The sequence below is a fragment of the Homo sapiens genome, chromosome 6, assembly GCF_000001405.40.
Source record: "Homo sapiens chromosome 6, GRCh38.p14 Primary Assembly".
Lineage (NCBI taxonomy): Eukaryota > Metazoa > Chordata > Mammalia > Primates > Hominidae > Homo > Homo sapiens.
This window is the reverse complement of record NC_000006.12, coordinates 87,924,115-87,949,124: the sequence shown is the minus strand read 5'-3', so window position 1 is coordinate 87,949,124 and position 25,010 is coordinate 87,924,115. Positions and strand designations below refer to the sequence as shown.

Sequence of the window (25,010 nt, the reverse complement as noted above, 5' to 3'; positions counted from 1 at the left end):
TGGTCATCTTCCCTTTCCTCCTGGCTTGATTGCAAAACCCAGAGCTGTAATTGCTCTCACGGTTGCTCTCTGTGGGTGACGGTCTTCATTGGGAAGGAGGGCCTGACTTCCACCATCCACCCATGAGGGCAGGGAGGTGTGGAAGGGGAGGGTGTCAACCTCAGGACGCTTTTCCCGCATTGGAGATTTTGTTCCACCCACAGGAATGCCAAAGGTTTCCAGCCACTTGGCTCCAAGGCAGAGGCGAAGTGGTAGGAATGAGGTGAGGATATCCACAAAAATAATTGCAATTTAAATCTGCATTTTAAGGTGTGCATGTTGAATTTAAAAGAGAAGAAATGATAATGATGCTTTAGTTCCTCGAAGCCTCATAAAAGTATCAAGGTCTGTGATCTGTCCTCACCTTTACAGACTGAAAAAAATACATTTGTCAGTGCTCCTAAAGTGAATGCACATCACATGGACCAACTTAAACTAATTAAACTCACCAGAGACAGATGCGTGAGCCCAGTTAGAATATTTACTTCTATTCACATGAAGTGAAGAATATGCCTCTCGGGCCTGGAAATATTTGTATCTGCTCTCTAGGCTATCCCTTTCTTCATGTCAAAGTTCTAAGGTTCTTTTTTTTTTTTTTTTTGAGATGGAGTCTCGCTCTGTCGCCCAGGCTGGAGTGCAGTGGCGCTATCTCGGCTCACTGCAAGCTCCGCCTCCCAGGTTCACGCCATTCTCCTGCCTCAGCCTCCCAAGTAGCTGGGACCACAGGCGCCCGCCACCATGCCCAGCTAATTTTTTGTATTTTTAGTAGAGAGGAGTTTCACCGCCTTAGCCAGGATGGTCTCGATCTCCTGACCTCGTGATCTGCCTGCCTCGTACTCCCAAAGTGCTGGGATTACCAGCGTGAGCCACTGCGCCTGGCCCAAAGTTTCTAAGGTTCTTTAAATACACAAATTCTTTCAACAAATTTATTTAACAAATTTTTATTGAGTGCTTGCTATGTGCCAGGTTCTGTGCTAGCAAACAAGATAGGAGTGGTTTCTGTTCCCTTGGAAGTTTCAACCTAATTATATTAGTAACGATAAGCTTCCCTGCTGGCTAGTAAAGCAGAGAAAAGAATATGAAATGGGTTTAAGGAATGTATTCAGGGCTCAGAAAATCCGATAAGCTATTTTAAACCCACAACAGAAGAGAGACCTGGTATCTCTTATTGTACAGTGATGCTTAAGTTAATTAATTCCAGCATCAACACTTACTTGCTTAAGAATAAAGGCAAATTATCATGCCTCCATAAATGGTGCTTCTTCGTTTGTAAAATGAGGTAGAAACATATTTTTCTGTCCTCTGTAGCACAAGGTTGTTGTAAGGAAAACACACATGAAAGTCCTTTGTGCTAATGCAGGGGCTGGTGGTGAGTGGTGGTGGTCAGAGTAGTTGCCTGTGTTGTGTTTAATTCCATTGAATACATAGGTTTAGGTGACTACTCTGTGTCCAGTCCGAGCTTCAGAGAAGGAAATGGAGCTAGTGTAAACATTTCCAGTACGCATGGATTTTTGTGAGTCTGCTGATGGAAACAGTAGTAATGACTTATCACAACACTCTAAGGGATCATTTTTTCAAGAGGGGTACTTTGAGAACCTTGGTGTGCCAGGTACAATGTGTCTGTTTACAGAATTAAAAGAGAAACACTAGGAATCATTTCTGTGAATCCAATAACAAGCCTGCCTCCTGCTACCTGGTTCCTGTAGATTAGTTGGTTATGGCTGATAAGTTGCTAAGTATATGCCCAGTTCTGTAACATTATCCATCTGTCCTTCACTAAGAATAAGGGGAAGAAAAAAGGGGTGAGGGGAACCTATCAGATTGCTCATCCACTAAAATAGCAGAGTAAAATTTTAAAACAAACAAAAATAAAACCCTTTCTCCTCTCAATTCCCATTTCTAAACCATTTCAGAGGGCTATTATTAAACTTCAGAGAGTTTGAAATATTATCCTATATTAAATTTCAAAGATCCATTAAGTGCCATTTTGCTGCAGTGAAAGGCAAGAACTAATTCAAGAAGGAAAAAAAAAATCTTGGAAGAGAAATTATTTTTAAAGGTCAGTTTTTCTTAAGAAACAGCTGAAAACCCCTCCATAGGGGCGAGGCTTTCAGCAAGTTCACTTTCTTCTGAATGTTCAGAGCCAGGGAAGACATCCTTGCGTATGGCAGGACATGGTTAAGTCACGATGATTTGAAGAAGTGTCACACTCTGTATTCTCGTAAACTACCATCTCACTTCTGTCTCATGTCTAAGTATCATGTTCTCATTGTAGCTTTACAACAAGCTCCTGTCAAGTAGGTCACTGGGAAAGGAAAGACATGAGACATAAAGAGGGGCTACAGGATGTGTATTATTTACTGTATTGCAGTGGTCCCCAACTGGGGGCAATTTGCTCCCCAGGGGACATTTACTAATGTCTGGAGTCATTTTTGATTTTCACAACTTGCGGAGAGAGTGCTATTGGCATCCAGTCAGTAGAGGCCAGGTATGCCGCTAAACACCCTACAATGCCAAAGACAGACCCCCCCAAAACCAAGAATTATCCAGCCCAAAATGTATACAGTGCTAAGACTAAGAAACCCTGCTGTAGTGCTGTTCTGTATTTTTTTCACCCCAAGTTCTGCTTTCTTGATAATGAACTAATATGTTGCTGGTTGCATGATCTGTTGAACACAAGGTAGCCGTGTCAAACCCTCTCAATTAACAGACAATCCTAATTAATTTGTTATCTTTTTCCCCCTCATTCATTCTTTATTCATCTTGGGTGGAAGCCCAAGTAGCAGCATATGGATGTCTTACAGCCACCAGCTCACATAAAGAAGGGTAAGCATGTTGCTGTAGTCACGCCGTCTGGGCTGCAATCCAATCAAGTTTCAGTATTTTGCATGGCATTCTCACTGCCTCACTTTGCCAGGCATCGTGGAGTTGAAAAACAAGTCCCAACAGAATTTGCTCAAATATATCTCATCGTGTGAAAGGAATCACAGAGAACTGGATGATGTAATATTGACTGCCTGTTAGTAAAGAGAATAAGCATGTCCGCCAAAGAATTAAGCCCAAGAGCCAGAGATGCAGAGGAAATGATGAGAGGGTTGAAATGGTAAATGAAGATGTCAAGTCATATGATGTGTGGACCCAGGCGCTGCGGCAGCACCTGGAACCTTTATAAGCACCTCTTCCAGAATGGTACAGATTTTCTCTCACAAAATGTACGACTATATATCACACTCTTCTGTTTGATCATCTTTATTTTCGTATGTCTACATGCTACCATCAAGCAACATCGTTTGAGCCAGAACAAAGGCTGCTGCCTTCCTTCAGTTAACAGCAGGTTTTATTTCTCTGCCCTGAATCCTATGTAGTCAAATAAATACTTTTGTCACAGAATGTGTGTTGATGAAGAAAGGGATCTATACCAATGCTCAGTAGATTCTGTGCTGTTTGATTCAGTGTATTTTATACACAGATATTTTTAAACTGCTTTACCTCTGAGAAGTACTATTTAGAGGCGATTTTCAAGTGTACAAGTCTCTTTCCTCTTCAGCACATTTTTGCTGCATGGTTTGTTTCCATCCAATCCCTTGATGTTTTCAGGCAAAAGAGAAGGGCAGGGAGGGAATGAAGCTGAGCTGCTGCATCTCAGAGTTTATTTACAGCTGAGTAAGTAACTGAGCTCTAAGAGCCAGACGCCAATGCAGGAGTGAGCGTTGGAAGATCAGCCTACTTTGTTCTGACATCTTCCCTGCACCGACCCTGCTCACCGCCAAATTGTCATCATTAAAACACCTAGTATTTATGGAGTGACTTAGAGCTTAACACTTTCCCATACTGATTCTCGCTGTAACTCAATGAGAAAGCAGGTATTATTCTCAGAGCTGGTTGGAAGCCTGTGGATGTAGTTTACCACGACCCATTACACCTATTGAATTCGCTGCATGTTAACACTGTCAAGCTTTTTCATAGAGGCGGAACATCATATTTTCTTAAATATTGCCTCTCTTTTCACCCTGGAGTTCCAGCATTCTCCTGTGGTAACTGTATTCCAAATATGCCATGCTTAAAAACTCCAGGGTATATGAGGAAAACAGAAGAAAAAAACCTTTTCTGCAAAATTTGAGCCGGAGGACCTGGAATTTAAACTCAACTCCTAGATCTCTCTTCTTTTACCTCTTATACGCTGCTTTATCTTCACCCTCTGGCCCTGGCCTGATGGTGGAGCCTCTGGCACGTCTTGACAGGCCTTCTCAGTGCTGAGAGCCATCAGCATGAGGTCAGTGCTGGTGGCATGCCGAGCTCTCTGTCTAGCCGTGACTTGCACTGAGGCAGTCACATTTTTAGTCCTTTTTTTTCCCCAAGATCATATCTCCAGCTCAACTGCAGCATGATAAATACCCAGTGTAAACATTTTAGTCACCCCAGAGAGTCACCTCCCTCCTTCTGTCATCATTAGTTAATCACCAGATATCAATCAGCCACTTTCGTTTATAGTAAAGCAGATTTCAAGGCATGTTGAGAGCTTGAGAGAGAGAGAAACTCAGCTCATATCCTAAAGGAAAGAGGCTTCAATCATAAATTGGATGAAGGACTGGGCACAGTGGTTCACGCCTATAATCCTAGCACTTTGGGAGGCCAAGGTGGGAGGATTGCTTAAGGCCAGGGGTTCAAGGTTACAGTGAGCTACAATCATGCCACTGCATCCCAGCCTGGGTGACAGAATGAGACCTGTCTCTGAAAACAACAACAAATTGGATGAAGGGAAACATCGAAGTATGCGCTGAATGTGTCCTGTACTCCAGGACCTGGGTTGGGTATTTTATGTGTTCAGGGTTATTCAGTTCAGGGCAGCCATGTAAAAGCTTACGTTATCCTTAATTTCAAGAGAAGGTGATAGATTTGTCCAATATCACCCAGCAATAAATGGCCTGCTCAGGACCAAGCCAAGTTTTTTTGTTTCTATCCCTTCACGCTGCTTCTCAAAATTAGTGCACTCTAGATGGGACCCAAACCCCCAAATCCCAGGAAAATACGGCAAAAACAGCACCTTTGAGCCCTGGGTTAAGTTTTTACACACACATATCTTGACAGGATGACTGTCCATTCCTACTTCTGAAGACAAGAAATCTCAACTTCTTGTGTCACGCCAAAGGACAACATGTTAATTCTGGGCTACCCAATGGGCAAGTAGTAAACTTCCTTGCCTAGAGCGAAAAGCACTGGTCTGAAAGTTAAGAGATGTCCCAGGTTTGCCCTAATTATATCCCAGCAATTCACTTCATCTTTGTGATGTTGGTTTCCTCATTGACCAAACTGAAATGAACTCAGTAAATAGTTTTTTAGTGTCTCCTGTGTGCCAGGCAGTGTTCTAGATGCTGGGAACCTAGCAGTGAACTAGACAAAGTCCCTTCCTTCATTGACCTTTCATTCTACGGGGGAACAGAGGCCATAGACCAATATATAAAGGCAATGATTCCGGAGAATGGTAAGGCCTTTGAAGACAATAAACAAGGTAAAATAATAGAGAAGCATGTGTTGGGGAAGGGGTAGATGAGGGTAGTGTTTCTTTAAAGTGGCCAGAGAAGGTTTCTTTGAGTAGGAGGAATTTCAGTTGATAGCTGTATGGTGGGGAGACAGTCATTTAAAGACCCAGGGGAAGAGTGTTCCACAGAGGGAACAACCAATGCAAAGGTCCTGGGGTAGGAACTACGTGATGTGTTCAAGAAACAGAAAGGTCAGTGTGGATAGAACCTAGGAAGCAGAGAGGGCACACTGCAGTGTGGTATAAGATGGTAGGGGACCTTGTGCGCCACCGTTAGGAATAATACTTGCCTTCCTGGCCTGACAGCATTATGGTAAGGCTCATATTTGATACAACTTTAGATGGGAAAGTCCTTAAGGCAGTTACAGCCTAACCAAAGATTACGTGCTGCAGAAATAGGTGGTGTACATTTGGTATGTGTTTCCTAAGTGTGTTATATGTATTATATGTTGCCAAATTCTTTACTAGTGCTGCTCATGTGCAATCTTTATTAAATCATTCTTAGCAATCTTTATTAAATCACTCTTAGCCCTCAGATTGCTTTGAGGAGTGGGATTGCTCCATCTGGATGAAGCCAGGGATGTTCGGCCCCTTCTCTTCCGTCTAATACTGTTTTCTGAATATGGAGGGCAGAGCACGAACTGTAGGCTCAGGGAAGGGAAGTTACTCTCAGTCTCTAAATCCATTGTAAGCAAGTAGCAGGGCAAAAGCTGCACTGCTTGCTTTAGGCAAGAAACAAACACATACTCCTGTTTTATCTTATTTATGGATTTTTTTAACAAGATACATGTAGCTGGTAATTTGTAGAAATAAAAACCTCCTGAGAGGAGATTACTTCTCATATCCTGTCTTCTTATGAAGTTAAAATGCATATGGAGACAAGAAAACAGGCAGGTTGCCCTGTGTACCCACGAAGGAACACAAAACAGAACCCGGGCTGCTGGGAATAGCAACAGAGCTCTGGGAGCAGGGAGATTCATTAAAAATGTAAAATGAATGCAATGATTGCATGTGGTTGTCTTTGGGGGCATTTTGTTTTAGACCTCATATGTGTTGGAAAACACTACTACAAATGCCATAATTATTTTAAGATATAAAATTATTTAAATTGGCCAATGAATGCAGCCCCTGACACCAGTCTGCATAAATCTGGATGTATTTGTGTGTTCCTGCAGAGTGGATGGGGTTTAGAAGCAGCTTTATTCATTAGCAGCATTCTCTTCACTTTCTTCTCCTCCTTAGCCCATTCGAAGACACAATGTCCTAAACTGCATGACCATCTAGAGGCAAAATACACCTTCACATACATTAGCTCAATTAATTATCATAACTGATATATGTTGCCATTTTCTGTATTTTACCCACAAGAAAGCTAAACTCAGAGAGGTTAAGTGTCTTGCCTAAAATCACACAGCCAGAAATGGCATATTTACTTGAACCCAGGTTTTCTGTCATCAAATCCTCCCTTCACTATTTTATGGCAATGGAAGAGTACCAGTTAGCAGATTGATCTAAAGTGATGAGTCATGTTAGGAGGGAGAAATTTTTTTTTCATTTGGGTGTCCAGTAGTTTCCAGGAATAAAAGAGAATCTGTGTGGAAGAGCAGTTCTGTATATCGAAGCCTTTGCTTATTCATCAATGTGTCAGATTGTGTGGTTTATTTGTTTGTTTGTTTTGCCATGGGCATTCTTTCTTCCTTCTTCAGCCAAACTGAGCTTGCCATGATTTTCAAGCTGATATCTGGCCATCATCTCCTTCAAAGGGCAGAAAGTCTTGCAGAGGTCATGGAATTCTGTAGCAGCTGTCCTCACTCAGACCCTTTCAGTTTGAAACTTCCTGAATGAGATGCTATCTCTGCCATCTCTTTGTTTTCTCTCTAGGAATCTTCATATTATTTCCATTTCTGTTTTCTAGCAAAGGGTAGAGATTACATCTACTCAAGGCAGTGCCAAAAAAACATATTTTTCTCCATTTCATGATTATAAACATTATCAATTGACATTTATTAAATACCCGCTGATGCATGATACCAAACAGACTATGGATTCTGTTCTCTCCCAAGGATTATGGCTCTGACATTGATCTGGGTTAGAAGGATGTAAATGCTGTAAACCAAGGAGGAAGTCAAGATAACATGAATGTTGGGACCAGCATGAAGTTACAGCTCCAACTTATGGGCAAGGTCCCCCTGAGAGGAACTTGGCAGCCAAATATGGTATGGCTAGCTCTAATCTATCTGTTGCCACCCAGCAAAATTCCAGAAGACTTCATCCTCTTTTTCATTTGGGATCAGTTTGAGGAAAGCTAGATTAATCCCATTGGTTGTTACACAGAATAGGGACTGGAAGAGATCAGAAAATTAAGTGATGCCCAGTTTCATACTAGAGGGGACATCACAGCTTCTCTATCCCAATGGGCAGGGATCTCTGTCATTCCTAGTTGTTTCTCTAGCACTGCCTCTTTGAAGAGAAAAGATGTGATATTCATCACCTCCCCAGGAGGCTTGGGCAAGATGTTAGGCAGGACAGAAGGATGGGAAAGAGACCCAGACTTCCACAGAAGAATGAGCCTCCCTCATCCATGTAACTTGTGCAGGCAGATCAACCCCTGTACAATACTCATTTGTGGGATTGTAGGAGCTGGAATCTCTCTCTCTCTTTTTTCTTTTTCTTTTTTTTTTTTTTTTTTTTTTTTGAGGCAGAGTTTCACTCTTGTTGCCCAGGCTAGAGTGCAGTTGCATGACCTCGGCTCGGCTCACTGCAACCTCTGCCTCCCTGGTTCAAGCAATTCTCCTGCCTCAGCCTCCAGAGTAGCTGGGATTACGCCCACCATCACGCCAGGCTAATTTTTTGTATTTTTAGTAGAGACAGGTTTCACCATGTTGGCCAGGCTAGTCTCAAACTCCTGACCTCAGGTGATCCACCCACCTCAGCCTCCCAAAGTGCTGGGATTACAGGTGTGAGCTGCCATGTCCGGCTATGGATTCTTAATAGTTATATTTCTCCCTCTTCATTTGAAAATCATCCCGTTTTCTATTTCACCTGGGATTTATTTTTTAACCCCCAAGTTACATCTCATCTTCTTCCTAACACAACTGAAAACAACTGAATTTAGTTGGAGAATATGATCACGAATCTGGTGAATTTAAGGAGCACCAAAGGTATCATTGTCCATATTTCCAAATACTAAAACACCTGGTTTTAAAGGGCAAACTAGACAGCTCAATTCAGTTCAATAAATATACAATAACTCTGTACTATGTCCTGAGTAGTAAATACCTATTTTATTCTTACCGTTTTCTGAGCACCGTGCTAGGCTAACGAAGATGAGTACCTTAAGTCCCTTGAGGAACTCCCACTCTAGTGGGAGGTTACACTTTGTGTATAATAGACTTGGTTATGTAATTAATGAAGCATTGCACCAGGAGGGAGAAGCTCTAACCCAGTCTTTGGGCCTGGGGAGGCTTCCTGAAGCTGAGCTGGGTCCTACAAAGCAAGTAGGAGAATGTCCGTGAATAAAGACAAAAAGGGGACTGTGGGCACAGAGAATAGCCTGAACAAAAGCAAGATGTGGGAGACAAGATGGGATGTGACAAGACAGTAATGCACAAAGTTGAGTGCCACTAAAGCATGGAGTACACAGCAGGGGATGGAGCCCTTGTAAACCAAGCTAACCAGCTTGGATTTTATGCTATAGGTGATAAAGAGCCCCTGTAGTGTTTCTCTAGGAGAGTGAAGTAGGGAGGCTGAACTTAAGAGGTGCAAAACTGAAGACAAGTTGGTGTGGAGTGCCTCTCACTGAAGGTACATATTAGAATCTTCTGTGGAATACTTTAAACTAGAGATTTCCTCAACTCATCTCAGATTTTTAAAAACATATGTATTTTTGACCCACCACCGGAATTCTAAAATATTCCCTTAGCTATGGACCACTCAACTGGGAGATTATTACATCGTAATAGTCCAGATAAAGGTGATGGAGACCAGGACTATGAGAATGGGAAAGAGGATGAAAAGACATATTTGAGAACCATTTAGGAAGCAAAATCAGTAGAACCTATTTATTTACTCACTCACTCATTCAATAAGTATTAGGCCAAGTACTGTGCTGGGTGGCAGGAACTCAATGATGAAAAGAACTCAGTCCCTGCTACTAATGATTGCACAGTCTAGAGCAGAATTTCTCCAACACAACATTAATCTTTTTAGCAACAGGAAAAATAAGGGGAAAAAATACTCCTGAAACATTCTGGCCATGAATTACCTCTGAGATGATTTGCAGGTTGAGTACTCCAGGGAACCTCCAAAATTTGGTATAGGCACCAGGCAGATCACTAACAAGTTCTCCTTGGAGAAACACCTTTTAATCCCAGGCCTCAAAGAACTGCCACAGATAGTTTTTCAAGAACAATGAGCTAGACACAATTAAAATAATAAAGCAAAAAGAAATACAAAGAAAATATATTTACTTAATATTTATTACTCAGGACATGATACAGACTAATTGTATATTTATTGAACTGAATTTAACTGTCTAGGTTTGCCCTTTAAAATAAAAAATTTTAGTATTTGGAAATATGGGCAATGATACCTCTTGTGCTGTTTACATTTGAAAGATTTGTGCTCATATTCTCTAAAAAAAAAAGCAGACTGCAGAAACCAACCTGTAAAGACTAAAGATATTAGACATATCACATTGTTTAAATATTCAGTCTCTCACAGCTTTGGAATTTATGTTTAATACTTTTTTACAATGCTATATCATCAGGGACAGGAAATTGTAAATAATAATAATAATGACCTGCCAGATTTATAAGGGTTCATTTAAAATAAAAAATGCAATAACCAATATGAAAAACTCAGTGGACAATGTTAGCAGCGGAATAAAGACGGAAGAGAGAATTTGTGAACTGGAAGATAAGAAATTGTCTACAAGGGGGAGCAAACTTTTTCTGTAAAGGATCAGATAGTGAGTATTTCAGGCTTGTAGGCCCTATGGTCTCTGTTGTATCCACTAAACTCTGTCATTAAAATGTGAAAGCAGCCCCACACAAGATGTAAACAAAGCAGTGTAGCTGTGTTTCAGTGGAACTCTTATTTACAAAAGCGGGCAGTGGGATAGACTTGGCTCAAAGGCGGTAGCTTGCCAACCTCTGGTCTAAAATGAAGCACAGAAAACAGAAACATGCAAAACAAGGAACAAATATTAAGAAACAAGAAAGATAGAAGAAGAAGGTGTGACATATGTTTAATCAGAGTTCCTAAAAGAAAGTGGACAGAGAGGCAGAAGCAATATCTAAAGATATGACTGACAATTTCCCAGAATTGATAAGAGATATTGATTTGCTAATGACAAAGCTCCATAATTCCCATGTAGAATAAATGAAAAGAAACACACCTCATGCCCGTAATCCCAGCACTTTGGGAGGCCGAGGCGGGCGGATCACGAGGTCAGGAGATCGAGACCATCCTGGCTAACACGGTGAAACCCCGTCTCTACTAAAAATACAAAAAATTAGCTGGGCATGGTGGCAGACACCTGTAGTCCCAGCTATTCAGGAGGCTGAGGCAGGAGAATGGTGTGAACCTGGGAGGCGGAGCTTGCAGTGAGCAGAGATGCTGCCACTGCACTCCAGCCTGGGCGACAGAGCGAGACTCCGTCTCAAAAAAAAAAAAAAAGAAAGAAAAAAAAAAAGAAAAGAAACACACCTAGATACCCATCATGAAACTGAAAAATCATAAAAAAAAAAAAAAAAGAAAAATCTAAAATGCAAGCAACAAAAGAATGACGCATAGACATAGGACAAACTCTAGGGGCTCCCAATTAAATAGACTAGAGGGGCCCCCTGGGGTTGTATAAGATGGACGCCCTGGTTAAGCCATTAGCTGATTTTTCAACAACAATACATCATGCCAGAAAGTAGTGGGATAATAAAAACCTGTTTTGAGGCATGAGAGTAGCAGGGAGAGTCGCTATATGGGTGACTGGGGGCAGACGCAGGATTTGGAGGCCATGAGGCCTGTATAGTTTGGGAGACCTTTTATGAAAAAAAAAACCAAAGAGAAAATTAAGTACAAGGCCTTGAAGGAGACCTATTCAAGTGAGAGGCCCTAAAATTTAAGCTTTATTAGCTTCATGGTAAATCTTCCTCTGACTTACAATGCACTCCCCCTCTTCTGCCTCCAGCATCCCTCTTCCCCAACACAGGCAGGAGAGCACCATGCCTCCTGGAATGGCCTTGGAGAGTGCCCGCAGTGCTCCTGTTGTCTCACCCTTTGATAGGTTTTGGCTGTGTCCCCACCCAAATCTCAACTTAAATTGTATCTCCCAGAATTCCCACGTGTTGTGGGAGGGACCCAGGGAGAGGTAATTGAATCATGGAGGCCTGTCTTTCCTGTGCTATTCTCATGACAGTGAGTAAGTCTCACGAGATCTGATGGGTTTATCGGAGGTTTCCGCTTTTGCTTCCTCCTCATTTTTCTCTTGCCACGCCCATGTAAGAAGTGCCTTTCACCTCCTGCCATGATTCTGAGGCCTCTCCAGCCATGTGGAACTGTAAGTCCAATTAAGCCTCTTTTTGTTCCCTGTCTTGGGTATGTCTTTATTAGCAGCGTGAAAACAGACTAATACACCCTTGTTCAGAGATCTTCTGAGTCAGCCCAGAGGGACCCTTGATCCTACATCTCCATCATATTCCAGGGGCCTATTAATCAGTGGGGTTCATAAGTTTTGAACAAACGTATAGAGTGTTAGTAGACAGCCACACATATCCTTACATTAGGTCTGCGCACACTTGTGTACCTCATGTGATCTATTCTGTGACACTTTCCATATAAAAAGACAGTAGCTGGCGTTCCAGGCCTCCTTCCCCATTCTCACTGCCTTCTGCCTCATCCAGGCCCTCTTCACTTTATCCATCTGGTGAGGCACCCAGATTTGCCTCACCACCCTCATTCTAAGTTAGACACTGCCACCAAAACTGCTTCTGTAAACGTATTCCCTTCAACAGTTTTTCTCAACCACCAGCGGAGGAATATGATCAGGGTAAAAAGCAATAAATCTCAGCCCCTGCAAATTTCTCCCTCAGGCTCAAAAGATGGGATAATACCTGGAGCATCTCCTCAGTTTCTCCACAGCCTCCAGCTTCCCCGTTGCCAACACCGCAATGGGATCCCGGGAGAATATGCATGCTTCCCAGAGAACCCACACCTGCTCGTGCAGTCACTGCAGTTGTCTCCAAGCAAGCCATACTTTGGTGTAGGTCCCCAGCAGGAGCTGCAAGGCGTTGCAACTCTGCCCCCAGGAAGGCCGGGAGGCCTATCCTATGCTCTCTAGTTCAGAATCGCCTCCTGGGTGCACCCTGGTCACTCATTTACAAGCAGAAACCTGCCCTTTGCAGCCCTTTATTCTCTCCCTCACCCAGCATTTTTACTGCCCCCAGTTTCTCTCCTCCCCACGCACAGCTCTGGGGCGCTGCAAGCTCCAGGTGCCAGGTGGAGCGATTACCCCGCTTCCTGTTTCCTCCTAAGTCCATTCTCCCAACTCCAGTCCTTTCATCTGAGAATCCAGTGCTTTCCTTTTTCTAGAGAGTGAGGGCTTCGGCAAGATCATTCGGATATCCTGGACGCTTGAAAGAAAATGCTTCTCTGAATGGTTAATTCTGCACGTGAGTTATATAAGATCTTTATTCCAGAACCTGCACGCAGTTATTTTAAAAAACAAGCTCCTGTGACTGACTTGAGAGGCCCCCCACCTACTTTGAATGCACCCTTCCCTTCCACGCCTACCTCCAGGAACCCCCACCAGTTGAAACTGGCCACTCACCAACCCCATTTTTCTGTCTCCTCAAGCCCCTGATTCCTTTCTAGACTTCCTCAGGTGGTTTCCTTCCCCCACTCTCCACTTAGCCAAACCTTTTCCATCCAATCCAAGGTCTCATTATTTCTCAGAGGTACCCTGACCGTTGTAGCCCGATCTTGTCTTTACACGTGGAACTTTTGAAGTTGCTATTGTGAATCCTGTTACTTTGCAACTGTGGTTCTCAACCCTGGCTGGACTATTTTTTTTTTTTTTTAAATACACATGCCTGGGCCTCCAACTTTGAAGATCCTTTTTCTGGAAGCTTCTGGAGCTTTGGAAAGCTCCCTGGGTGATTCTGATATGCAGCCAAGGATGAGAAACACTGCTTTAGAAACATGCTATCTTGTGATTTTATGTAATGCCTTTTATGTCTAAGCCTTGTTTCCCCAAATAGACTGTAAATTTATTGAATACAGAAGCCACAGTGGCAGTTCTTCTGTATCCCCCACATCATCTTGCCTACCAGGCATATAGTAGGTGCTCAGTGACAACTTGAATGATGGATTGATTGATTGAGCATGATATTGAATAACAAAGCCCCTGGACGGGAAGGAGGAAACCTTATATCTGTTCCTGACTCCATAACTAGCAAGCCACTATCCTTCCTGGATTTCTGCTTCCTCATTTGTAAAACGAGGGTGATAATTAGGTTTCCAAACTCCTGGGAGCTCAAAGGAAATTGTAGAAGCTCATGAGTTATTTTCAACATTTCAAAAAGTCATTGAAAATTATATATTTTATATCAATTTTCAGATTAGTAATCTATCAAAATATGCATTAATGAATGGCAGTGGGCAGAAATAATATAAAGGAATCTTTAGTAGTGAAAAGGTTTAAAACCGCTTTTAAATTACAGGATTTCATGATTCCATTTGCTTGGTATTTATGATCCAGATCCCCTGGGAGAGGGAGTAAAACAAAGTAAAAACTTTGGAGTTAGGCTAACCTGGGTTCAAGCCCCAACTCCACAGCCTGCTAACTGTGAAGTTACCTTAGGCAAGTTACCTTAGGCAAGTTCTTAACATTTCTAAGCTCATCCCTTCATCTGTAAAATGGGCATATTGATAGTACCCATTTCGTAGAGTTGCTTAAGCATAGATAAGTTGATACATGGAAAGCCTTTAATGCATTGCCTGGCACATAGCAAGTGTTCAATAAATGTTAGCTATAGTTACTAGGAATATACTTGGGATGAGAAAGACACTCAGAGCTATGCCGAGGAGAGAAATGATAGTCAAAGTCACAAGAAGGTAAGGCATGGTGGCTCATGCCTGTAATCCTAGCACTTTGGGAGGCCAGAGCGAGAGGATCACCTGGGACCAGGAGTTTGAGACCAGCTTGGGCAACAAAGCAAGACCCCTGTCTCTACAAAAAATTTAAAAATTAGCTTAGTGTGGTGGTGTGCATTGAGTCATGATTGCACCACTGCACTCCAGTCTGGACGACAGAGTGAGACTCTGTCTCAAAAAAAAAAAAGCCACAAGAAATATTTCTTCTAAGCTGGGGAAGGGTTATAACAGGCTCATGGTTGGGGAATCGTCCTTCCACTCTAGAAGATGTGATAAACGTGTTCGACAGCAGTCACTGTGGTACAGCCTCCATCATAGAACACGGAACTGTAAGAGAACCACAGCTATTCCCCAAGGCCAGGTTTCTCCACTTCCGTGGACTTCCAGATCACCTGGAGGACTTGGTAAAGTACTAGTTCCCAGGCCCAGCTGCCAGATATTCTGAGTCGTTCAGGAAAACTGCATTTCTGCATTTTTAATAAGCCCACAGAAATACAGCTCTAAGGAAATTATTCTAGAAGAAAAATCCAAAGCCCAGTAGAGAGGCAGAGGTTAGGCTGATTATGATGGTTACAAAGCTCCAATGCCTGCTGGAGCCAAAGTGTTGGGGTGGAAACCAATGTGTATGTGATCAGGCAGCTCATCTGCAAGAGGTAGAGAGACCAGGCATGGGTAGGGAGAGCCAGGAGGCCAGCTGGGGCATGGATATGGCAAAACAGAGGGCACAGGGGACAGAGGAAGGTTGACATGTATATGACTGCCTTCGAAGCAGGCCAGCCCTCCACATCCTGGATGCCAGGGTGCCCAGGCACTGGTGCTGAAGCTGTGGGGCTCAGAAGATTCAGGAGGGTAAATCAGTCGGTCACAGCAATTCCCCAGCTTTGGTTTTCTTCCAGGTGGCTTTGTTTACTTCTGAACTAACATTTTTTTTCAGTTACTGTCAGCCCAAGTAGAGGCAGTTACTGACACAACGTTGTCTGATGTTCAGGGAGTTGGGGGTGCTGATGATGACAGTGGGGGTCTCCTGGCCTGGCACCTGCTATAGTAGCATCTGGTATCTAGACCTGAAAAAGGGCAACATGACCCAACAAGAGGAAGCTGCCATTATCATAAAGGCACAGTTAGTTTCCCTGGACTACTTTTCTCTATTTTTATTTTCTTGTCAATCTGTGGTTAGATTAAACTCTCCCCTGATGATTGAATGTCATGATCACAGGCAAGAGAAATATTTGATGGTTTGGTTGATTGTGGTATACATGATACAAACCTTGTCTGTCTTTCCAAACTTATTTTGCAATTACTAACAGTCCAGGTGATACTGAGGGAGAATTCTTAGCCCAGTATTTTGCCCTCACTCCTCACCATTAGGGTTTCTATAGTTCCCATATTCACTTTGACGTGTACTTTTCTGAGCCAAGTTAGGGAAGGAAATGTCTTATATTGAAATACAAAGAGACCATTAGGACTTCTGAACCTATTCTCAACCTCAGTCCTTATCTAAAATGAGATCCAACTTAAGGATTTTAAAGCTCAACAACAACAACAAAATCAGGAATAAGTGTTACAAATTCTCCTTCCAGAGTTCATGTTCATTTAAGGCTGCTAAAATGAAGCTATTCTTCATTAATGTTCAGATTTAATCAGATGGACAATGCTCTGGGTTACATAAGTGGTAACAGAAATGTTAAGGAGGGCATTTGGTTGAAAGAACTTTCTTCCTATCTCCTTGTTTCCGCCTTGATTATACACACAGCACCCTGTTGCTTGCTCATTTACACAAGAGGAAGAGTTGCTAATCTGCTCTCCAGCCCTGACCTTCATCGGGTAAGGGCACAGCGTTGAACAGTGATAGGCAGCTGCAAGCACCTGGTCTTCTACTCGCTGTTGCTGACTGAGGAAGGACCAGCCTGCAAGGGCAGGCCTGTGTCTCCTTGTCCGCTTCTTGCTCTATGAACTCTTGTTCTTGTGTGGGAATCAGGATAGTCAGGACCTTCCCTGTTAGGAAGAAGCTCTTTGGCTCCCCTGTGGCCTTCAGCCTAAGCCACATGCTAGGTTTCAAATTAACCAGAGACACTTTTCACAGGGCAAGTGGGGTAGTATTGTTGTAATTGGAAGCTTGCTGAGATGTTAATAAATATGGTTAGTATTCTTCACTTGGCTGCTGATCTTTGCAGATACAATTTTTTCAGAAGGGAGCATGAGTCTTAGGATTTAGACCCCAATTTCTCTACCTTGACTATTTATTAGAATTCTCCTAAAGTGGTTGAATATTTACTAAAAATCACTTTGTGGCCCTTAGATCCTGTGCAATTCTGTCCTCTGCACTCTGAGTAAAATCCATACTCTGCATTATAAAAAGTCTCAGGTATTTTCTACCACTTTAGCTTTAGTCTGGCAAAGACCAAAGGCAGGGATGGTCCATTTCCACTTAGAACTTCACCTGTAGCTGGATGCATTATTCCTAAATGATTTGTGGAAATTTGGGTTTTAGTCTGTGATGAGACTGTAAGAACCTAGTTCATTGCAAAGGCTTCATTTAGATGTTCACCATCTTTGCCAACTTGGAAATGAGGTCTACCCCACCACTGGGAAGTTTCCAGAACATGAAGATCTTAGAGGTGATCTTGTCAACATCCCACCCAACTCAGCCAATAAGCACATATTGAAATTGTGACCAAAAATTTGCCCATTTACACAAGAGGAAGAGAACCTATTTTCCCCAAACTAACATTCCATAGTTTCTTATTACTTACCCCAAGAGACTCCCACAATCTTTAGAATCAAAATGGTGCTTCCTTCTAGGGTAGATCTTTTGTTTTAGTTCTCTCTCTCTTTTATCTAACAGTTTCTCTCCAGTTGATAGGCCTTCATTTATTTGACAGTCAGTGATTAAGCCATTCTTTGTCTTTCTTTTCTCTAGAAAAGATACAGATTCTGTTCATCCTAAGTATGTACAGGGCCTTTAAAAATCACTCTTGTGGGCCGGGCGCAGTGGCTCACACCTGTAATCCCAGCACTTTGGGAGGCCAAGGTGGGTGGATCACCTGAAGTCAGGAGTTCGAGACCAGCCTGGCCAACATGGTGAAACCCTGTCTCTACTAAAAATGCAAAAAATTAGCTGGGTGTGGTGGTGCACCCCTGTAATCCCAACTGCTCAGGAGGTGGAGACAGGAGAATCGCTTGAACCCAGGAGGCGGAGGTTGCAGTGAGCCGAGATTGCACCATTGCAGTCCAGCCTGGGCGACAGAGTGAGACTTTGTCAAAAAAAAAAAAAAAAAAAAGCACTCTTGTGTATTCCTTTTCCCTAAGAGAGCCATATCTAAACTAGTCCAGATCTAAAACAATGCCAACATTTTCTGGGGGTAACTCACCAGGAATGAACACTTCTCAGTGCTAAAAAGCCTTTTCTATTTTCTTGCTCTAGGTAAAGCTCTTTTCCTCTTCTACTCTGGAAACAGGGAGTAACTGAGCATTGTTCTCTGTAAAAATAACCCTTCATATATTATATATATTCTTTTTTCAAAGTGGCTAAATTACCCTCAAAGTATTGCTTTCTATAAAAGCCCCACAGTATATCCAGCTAAAAGAGGAAGGTTAAATAGAATGTGTGAGCATAGTGATTATTTTAACAATTAGAAATTATTCTGATTTATAAATGCCCTTTCCTTATATATGGTTGCAAATGGTCCTTTTTTCCTTCATCTTCCTGTCTTAGCTTCCCCACCATCAAAACCATCATCCCAAAACCTAACTATTCTGCCTAGAGTGTTGATTATCAAGTTAAATTGTTGGTTTTTCCATATAACCTATCTCTCATCCTCCTACTGACTTCACTACAGTGGGTTGTTTGTTTTCCTGAAGACTGGGCCTTGTGCACCTTCGTGTACTTAAGCCATGCAAAGGGAAGAGAACCTACTCCATATATAGTCACTGGTTGGAAACACAAATGAACAGATGAATGAATCAGAAACACCTGCATACAACCTCTAGATTAGTCAAAAATGCCTAAATAACACCACTGGATTGTGTTCAACCCAACCAGATAATAACTATTTTAACAGCTACCAGTGTTAAGCTCCCCAACCAGGCTTGTTGCTTTACCTATGATATGTCCTTCAGCTTACAACCCCCCTGTGAGGTAAGGGGTTAAGGGAGAGGATTAGCAGAGGTTGAAAGACTGACTGTAATGTCCCCATCCTTTAGTGTCACCCTGATCTTGCCCTCCTCCCTGCCTCCCTGTCTTTAATCATTGAGGTCCTGCAGTCCATGAAGATTTCTGTAGTCCTCATGGGCAGCATTCAATCCGCCAACACTGAGGAAATCAGCCAGCTGGCCTTGCACGAAATCCTTCCTCTCCCATCTCTTTGTCCTGGGCCACAGGAGTGTGTAGTCTGGTTCCCATGTGCCACCTGCTGGTCTCCTGAGTCACTGCTTCCGAAGTGCCTGAGTAGTGCCGAGTAGTGGCTGAAGAAAGGGAAGGAGCGGCCTTTTCACAGCATGTGCACGAAGTGACCCAGATGCCTAGACTGGGGTGTGAATTAGTTCATTCTGACTGCACGTCAGCAGTGGAGACTAGGAACCTGAGGCACTGGGGAAAGAGGTCTCTGCCCAAAGCCATAATCTGTGTTTAGGAATTCTTAGTCAAAGCATTCTTTAGGCATGCAATCTGCCGAACATCCAAAAACAAATGTTTAAAACAGAAAACAAAAGTCTCTGTGCTCATATCATAATAAATACGTGTACAAGATGAATGGGTCAGATAAAACAAGAAAGGGTTATTCGGGTATTTGGTAAACCTATGGCAGTCTCTCTGGAATAAAATAAAGAGAGGAGGGAGGCAGGAAGAGAAGGAAGGAAGGAGAGAAAAATATACACCTTCACCAGAAAAATATTGCTTAATGTACATGTAATTATTCCTAAAAACTCTCCAGCTGAAAATGTTCAGGATTTCTTTTTTTTACTTGAACTAGCCTTTTGGAAATTTATACAAAATAATAAAAATCATTGATTACAAGCTTATTAAAAATTAGATGCAGTCACAGAGATATAAGGTGGGTGCTTATAGAGATAGCAGTATTGATTCGCTAGCAACAGCTCTTCGCTCATAGCTATGATCCAATGAGCTTCTCTGGTGGTTTCCCAAGGGTGAATTATGGCCTCAGTCAGTTGGGTTTCTGGGCAAACATTTACATGAATGATTCTGTACAGAGGCTCTCATGTCTCCTCCCATATATTCTTCATCTAGATCACTAAATAACACTTCTGAATTTCCAGAGACATGTACCTTTGCCTTCTGCTTTAAGAGGTCTTTATTTCAGCTGGGTGTGGTGGTTCATGTCTGTAATCCCAGCACTTTGGGAGGCTGAGGCGGGCGGATCACGAGGTCAGGAGATCGAGACAATCCTGGCCAACGTGGTGAAACCCTGTCTCTACTAAAAATACAAAAATTAGCTGGGCGTGGTGGCACATGCCTATAATCCCAGCTACTTGGGAGGCTGAGGCAGGAGAATCGCTTGAACCAGGAAGTCAGAGGTTGCAGTGAGCCCAGATCGTGCCACTGCACTCCAGCCTGGTGACAGAGCGAGACTCTGTCTCAAAAAAAAAAAAGTCTTTATTTCTCACACACGTTACCTTTGTGTAAAATAGTTTCCCTCCTAAATATCTTCCCCTGCTCTGTTTTCTTCAGCCTGAGGCTCAAAAATTTTTACACGGAAGCCATGTCAATGAATGATTACAGAATTCTTTTCATTTCTTCCTCAAAGGCCAGAAGAATACTGAGGAAGACAATCCCTCCCCATCGTCCTTTTGCCTGAGCTTCTGCTTAAATGCAGGTCTGAGCAAAGTTGAAAACCATGGGCCCTCAGGCAGAGACCTCATAAGCGCTGTATTTAAGGATCTGAACAGGAAATAAAGATTTTGACTTTTTTCTTGGCATTGTGCTTGGCCCTCTGGTTTCTCCTAAGGGCAAGCCCATTTCCTCTGTATCTCGGAGTCTGTTTTGTTTTGTTTTTTATATTATTTTTATTATTTTTTGGGACAGAGTCTTGCTCTATTTCCCAGGCTGGAGTGCAGTGGTGCGATCTCAGCTCACTGCAACCTCCGCCTCCTGGGTTCAAGGGGTTCTCATGCCTCAGCCTCCCAAGTAGCTGGAATTACAGGCTTGCACCACCATGCCCAGCTAATTTTTGTATTTTTAGTAGAGACGGGGTTTCACCATGTTCACCAGGCTGGTCTCGAACTCCTGACCTCAGATGAGCCACCCGCCTCAGCCTTCCAAAGTGCTGGGATTACAGGCCACTGCACCCAACCGGATTATCTGTTTTTAAAATGGGGCCAGAAATTTTGGAATCAGAATGTTAATAATATTATACAATGATGGTTAATATGCACTGAGTGATGACTATGTGCTAGACACTGTGCTAAACATTAACAATGGGTTGTCTCATTTAATGCTCATAAAACCCTATGAGATAGGTAAGAACTCTTATTATCCCCATGTTATGAGTAAGCATAGGTGAACTACAGTGGATTAAAGTACCTTGCTTATCGTCTCTTTAACATGAAATTCCTTCAACATAAGTAAACACCTATTATGTGCTAGCCAATAAACTGGATGCTGGAGCTCAGGACTAAACACAAACATAATCCTCACTTTTGAGGTTTGCATAGGCTCTAAGGAGCCCATGAAGGTAAACTTACAGGACCAGGAAAGCTTTGCAGAGGTTTCAAAGAAGTGTACTTCCAGTGGAATGGGGGCTCCTGGAAGGGAGTGGAAAATCTCTGGGGGTAGGGAGTAGGGGGTTTCAGGGAAGTTCTTAAGATAAGTAGTGCCTTAGGGGAATCTTCAGCAGAAGGAAGAAATGAAGTTCAGACTCCTGGTGATCAGAAGGCCTTCAAGATTTTCCATTTTCAGAGGACTCTGAGACCCTGGGTTGGGAGTCCTGACCTGCCAGAGTGCACATATTCCTATTAATGGTAGGATAAGGCCAATGAGAGGGTCCCCACCATGTGGCCTCGAACCTCCCATTCATCCCCCAAAGTCCAGAAGGAGCAGTCAGGAAAAGGAACCAGCTAGCCTTATACTTGTGAAAAAGAAGTGATTAACAAGTAGCCCTCTATGATTTCTATGTAAACTCAGATCGCAAAAGGCATTTAAATACTTAATGAAAGGATTTCCTCTACCTAGTTTTAGTCCTGCTTATTGATTGAATTCCCTTCTAATGACTGGGCTTTTCTATGTTTGAGCTAAGTTGTCTCTGGGAAGGGAGGTCATCTGAGCGCCTTAGGATGTCATATCCTTCTTGGCAAGTACAAGAAACAGGTTTGAAGAAGCCTGGAGGACATTTACCAGTGATCTGGTCTGGGAAGTTGTGGTTAGGCCACAGCAGAAGGGGACCAATTACCACCATGTACCATCTGGGGGCCAAACACTCTTCTGGGTGCTTTATATTTGTGACCTCATCTCAGGTGGACAATGACCTAGCCAAGGTGGCTCTCATAATCCTTCAGTCACAACTCAGAGAATGGAGTGACTGCACAAAGGACCCAGTGGTGACTGGCAGAACCGGTACTGTGAATCAGCTGTCTTTGAGCCTGGAATTATATTCTTCTGGAAATGCCTCTCTTTACCCAGGCCAGGCAGTTCCCAAACAATTCCCCAAAAGACGCCAGATTTGTGAACAGATATTGGTTGACTAAAACATGTTCCCCCTACAGGAAAAACAACTCCAAGTGCATGCCTTAATGACAGTGCTTCTGCAGTGTCCCCGCTGTACCTGGGGACAACATACTATCCACAATGGATAGTATGTACTGAATACCTACTTTGTGCAAGGGACTAAGCTGACAACTCTGTATACAAGAGCTCATTTAATCTTATTATTATTCCTGTTTTATACAAGGTTAAGTAACTTGCCCAAAGTCACAGCCAGAACTGGGACTTAAACCCAGATCACTCAACTCCAGAATCCATGTTTCATGACTATTTTCCTAACCACTGTTTTTCACTGCCTCTCCTTGAGGGAAATAAATCAGTGGGCCCTGGTATCTGAGAAACGCCACCACAAGACAGCCAACCTCAGCGCTTTGTGGATTTCTCTAATTCTAATTTCTAGTCCCTGTTTTTGTCACCTGTGTGAGTGGTAACGGCCTGAAGCACTGGTATTACTAAGACAGGTCCCCCATCCCCTAAGCAATCTTGAGGGCTGTGACGAACTATAGATAAATGAGGGTAGGTTGAGCACTTCGAATTGGAACGCATGAAATTGGTTGGATTTGTAATCAGATGAGAGAAAGCAAAGGCTTTAGGAAAGCCCACTTTTCCCCGTAGTCCCTTCTCATGGCCATGAGGCATCATCAACTCTTAATGGAAAGGGTATAAATGCTGGAGTTGGGCAGACCTCAGGTCAAGCCCTGGCTCCACTCCTGGCCAGCTGAGTGACTTGGGCCAGGTAACTTCATCTCCCTGAGCCTCAGTCTCCTCATGTGTAAAGTATGTGCACCAGTAGCTAGCAGAGGGCTGGGAACACGGATGGAGATGATCCACAGGAAGCACCTGGCACTATGTCTGGCACGTGGGAAAGGATCAAGTACATATTAGCTAAAAATAAAACTGAGAGCATGGTTTCAGGGCCGTTGGGGATTCCCCAGTCACCAGACTGTGACCATCTGCCCCGATGCTGCATGTGGGATCCTCCAGATCCTACACTGGCGTTGCATCCCTGTGTCTGGCAGGACAGGTGGCTTTTCCTAGCCACCTCAGGAGAGTACATTTGTCACCACGGATGCAAACCCTGGAAGCCAGTGCAAGCTGCTTGCTACAGCACTGGTGTGGCCAGGCCCCTGCTCTGCCAGAACTTGCTTCTAGTGAGAAACCTCATTTCTCACCCCATGGTCAGGTGGACTGTGGTGGGAGGAAGAGGTTGGGAGCAGAAAAGGTGACAGTTCTGGTCTCAGAGTTGATGGCTTCAGATCCCGCAGGGGTTCAGATGCCTTCAGATTTATAGGCCCATAACAGCAGAAAGCTGCCTCCTGGCTGAGCCTGGTGCTGCTTTTGGGCCCGGGGGGCTCCTGGCTGATACTGTTTGTGAACCTCTTTATCTCTCTAATGCCATGTTCTCTAAATCTTGGTATTAGAACGATGAGAAAGGGCGGAGGAGGGTGATTCATGCCCTGGTTACACTGACAACGAAATTCATCGAAATCAAATTTCTCCTAAGCATGCTAACAACATCCCGGCTGGTGCCTGCCTCGGCTGTAGGTCTGGGTTTGTTTGGTTTCTACAACAATTTTTCTTTTTAATGTCATTATTTTTATTATTTCGCCTAATGTTTTTATAATGTGCTTACTGTGGAGGTTGTTCCACAGAGCCCGCCAGCTCTCTGGGGATAGGGTGGGCCACGCTTGGTAACCCCAAAGGCTGCTGTTTTGCACAACCCTCCAATCACTGAAGGAAATAGAGTCTTCACCCTCCCCACTTCCCTAGACCTGTCTTGACAAGGAATCAAACACTAACCATAGAATTACTAACCTGTTCAACCCCAGTCTGAGCAAAGCTCCAATATTAACTGATGAACCCAACCAACCCTCCCCTTCTTCCACCCACCTTTTATTCTCCCAGTTAAGCATCTCTGGTTGCATCAGTCCTTTTTTCTATGTCATGGCTTCTGGCTCCACTTCTGCCATCCTGCCCTGGAACATCATCCCCTGCCCTATTTGCCCATATCCCTCTTAAATGTGACATTGATTAAGGGATGAATAAATGATACCACATCCATATTTCTGGAACATTAAGCATTTTAAAATTAATTTTGGAGAGGTGTCAATGATGTATCCTTAAGTGAAGAAAGATGGAGAAAATGGGTTTGTCCACTTTATGAAAAACCAAAAATCCCAACAAAAATCTTATATACTTGTGGGTTTGTTTTGATATGTTTGTCTCAGCATGAGTAACAGCACAGAAGGATACACACCAAGTTGTTAACATGTGTTATCTGTTTTGGGGGATGTTAGAAGGAAGAATTTTTTTTAATATACCTATAATGTTTCATTACCTGCAGTTAACTCTTGTTACTCTGATTTATTTATTTATTTATTTATTTTTGAGACAGGGTCTCACTCTGTCACCCAGACTGGAGTGCAGTGGAGCAATCTCAACTTAGCAGAACCTCAGCCTCCTGGGGCCAAGCAATCTTCCCATCTTAGCCTCCCAAGTAGATGGGACTATAGGTGTGCCATCACACCTGGCTAAATTTTTTTGGTATTTTTTGTAGAGATGGGGTTT

General features: G+C 43.1%; 1 long non-coding RNA gene across 2 annotated transcripts, besides 2 other annotated features; it reads right to left on the bottom strand.

Annotated features, from left to right (window-relative positions):
* Nucleotides 1-5,081: 5,081 nt before the first annotated feature.
* LOC105377882 (uncharacterized) lies at nt 5,082-17,684 on the bottom strand. 2 transcript variants are annotated; one of them, XR_001744246.1, is made up of 3 exons: nt 17,482-17,684; nt 9,843-9,993; nt 5,082-7,489 (listed from the first exon to the last, which is right to left on the bottom strand). It is a non-coding gene; the product is annotated as an uncharacterized LOC105377882 (long non-coding RNA). The 2 variants fall into 2 exon arrangements; XR_002956400.1 differs by lacking the exon at nt 5,082-7,489 and adding an exon at nt 8,930-9,064.
* Nucleotides 22,790-23,879: an enhancer, noted in NCBI's record as "amplified fragment containing the chr6:88634965-88636053 (GRCh37) CAGE-defined region". NCBI's record gives its function as "transcribed enhancer in B cells {active_cell/tissue: B cell}" and the evidence as "EXISTENCE:reporter gene assay evidence [ECO:0000049][PMID:24670763]".
* Nucleotides 23,415-23,604: an enhancer, noted in NCBI's record as "active region_24813". NCBI's record gives its function as "activates an Ori minimal core promoter by ATAC-STARR-seq in GM12878 lymphoblastoid cells {active_cell/tissue: GM12878}" and the evidence as "EXISTENCE:reporter gene assay evidence [ECO:0000049][PMID:35858748]".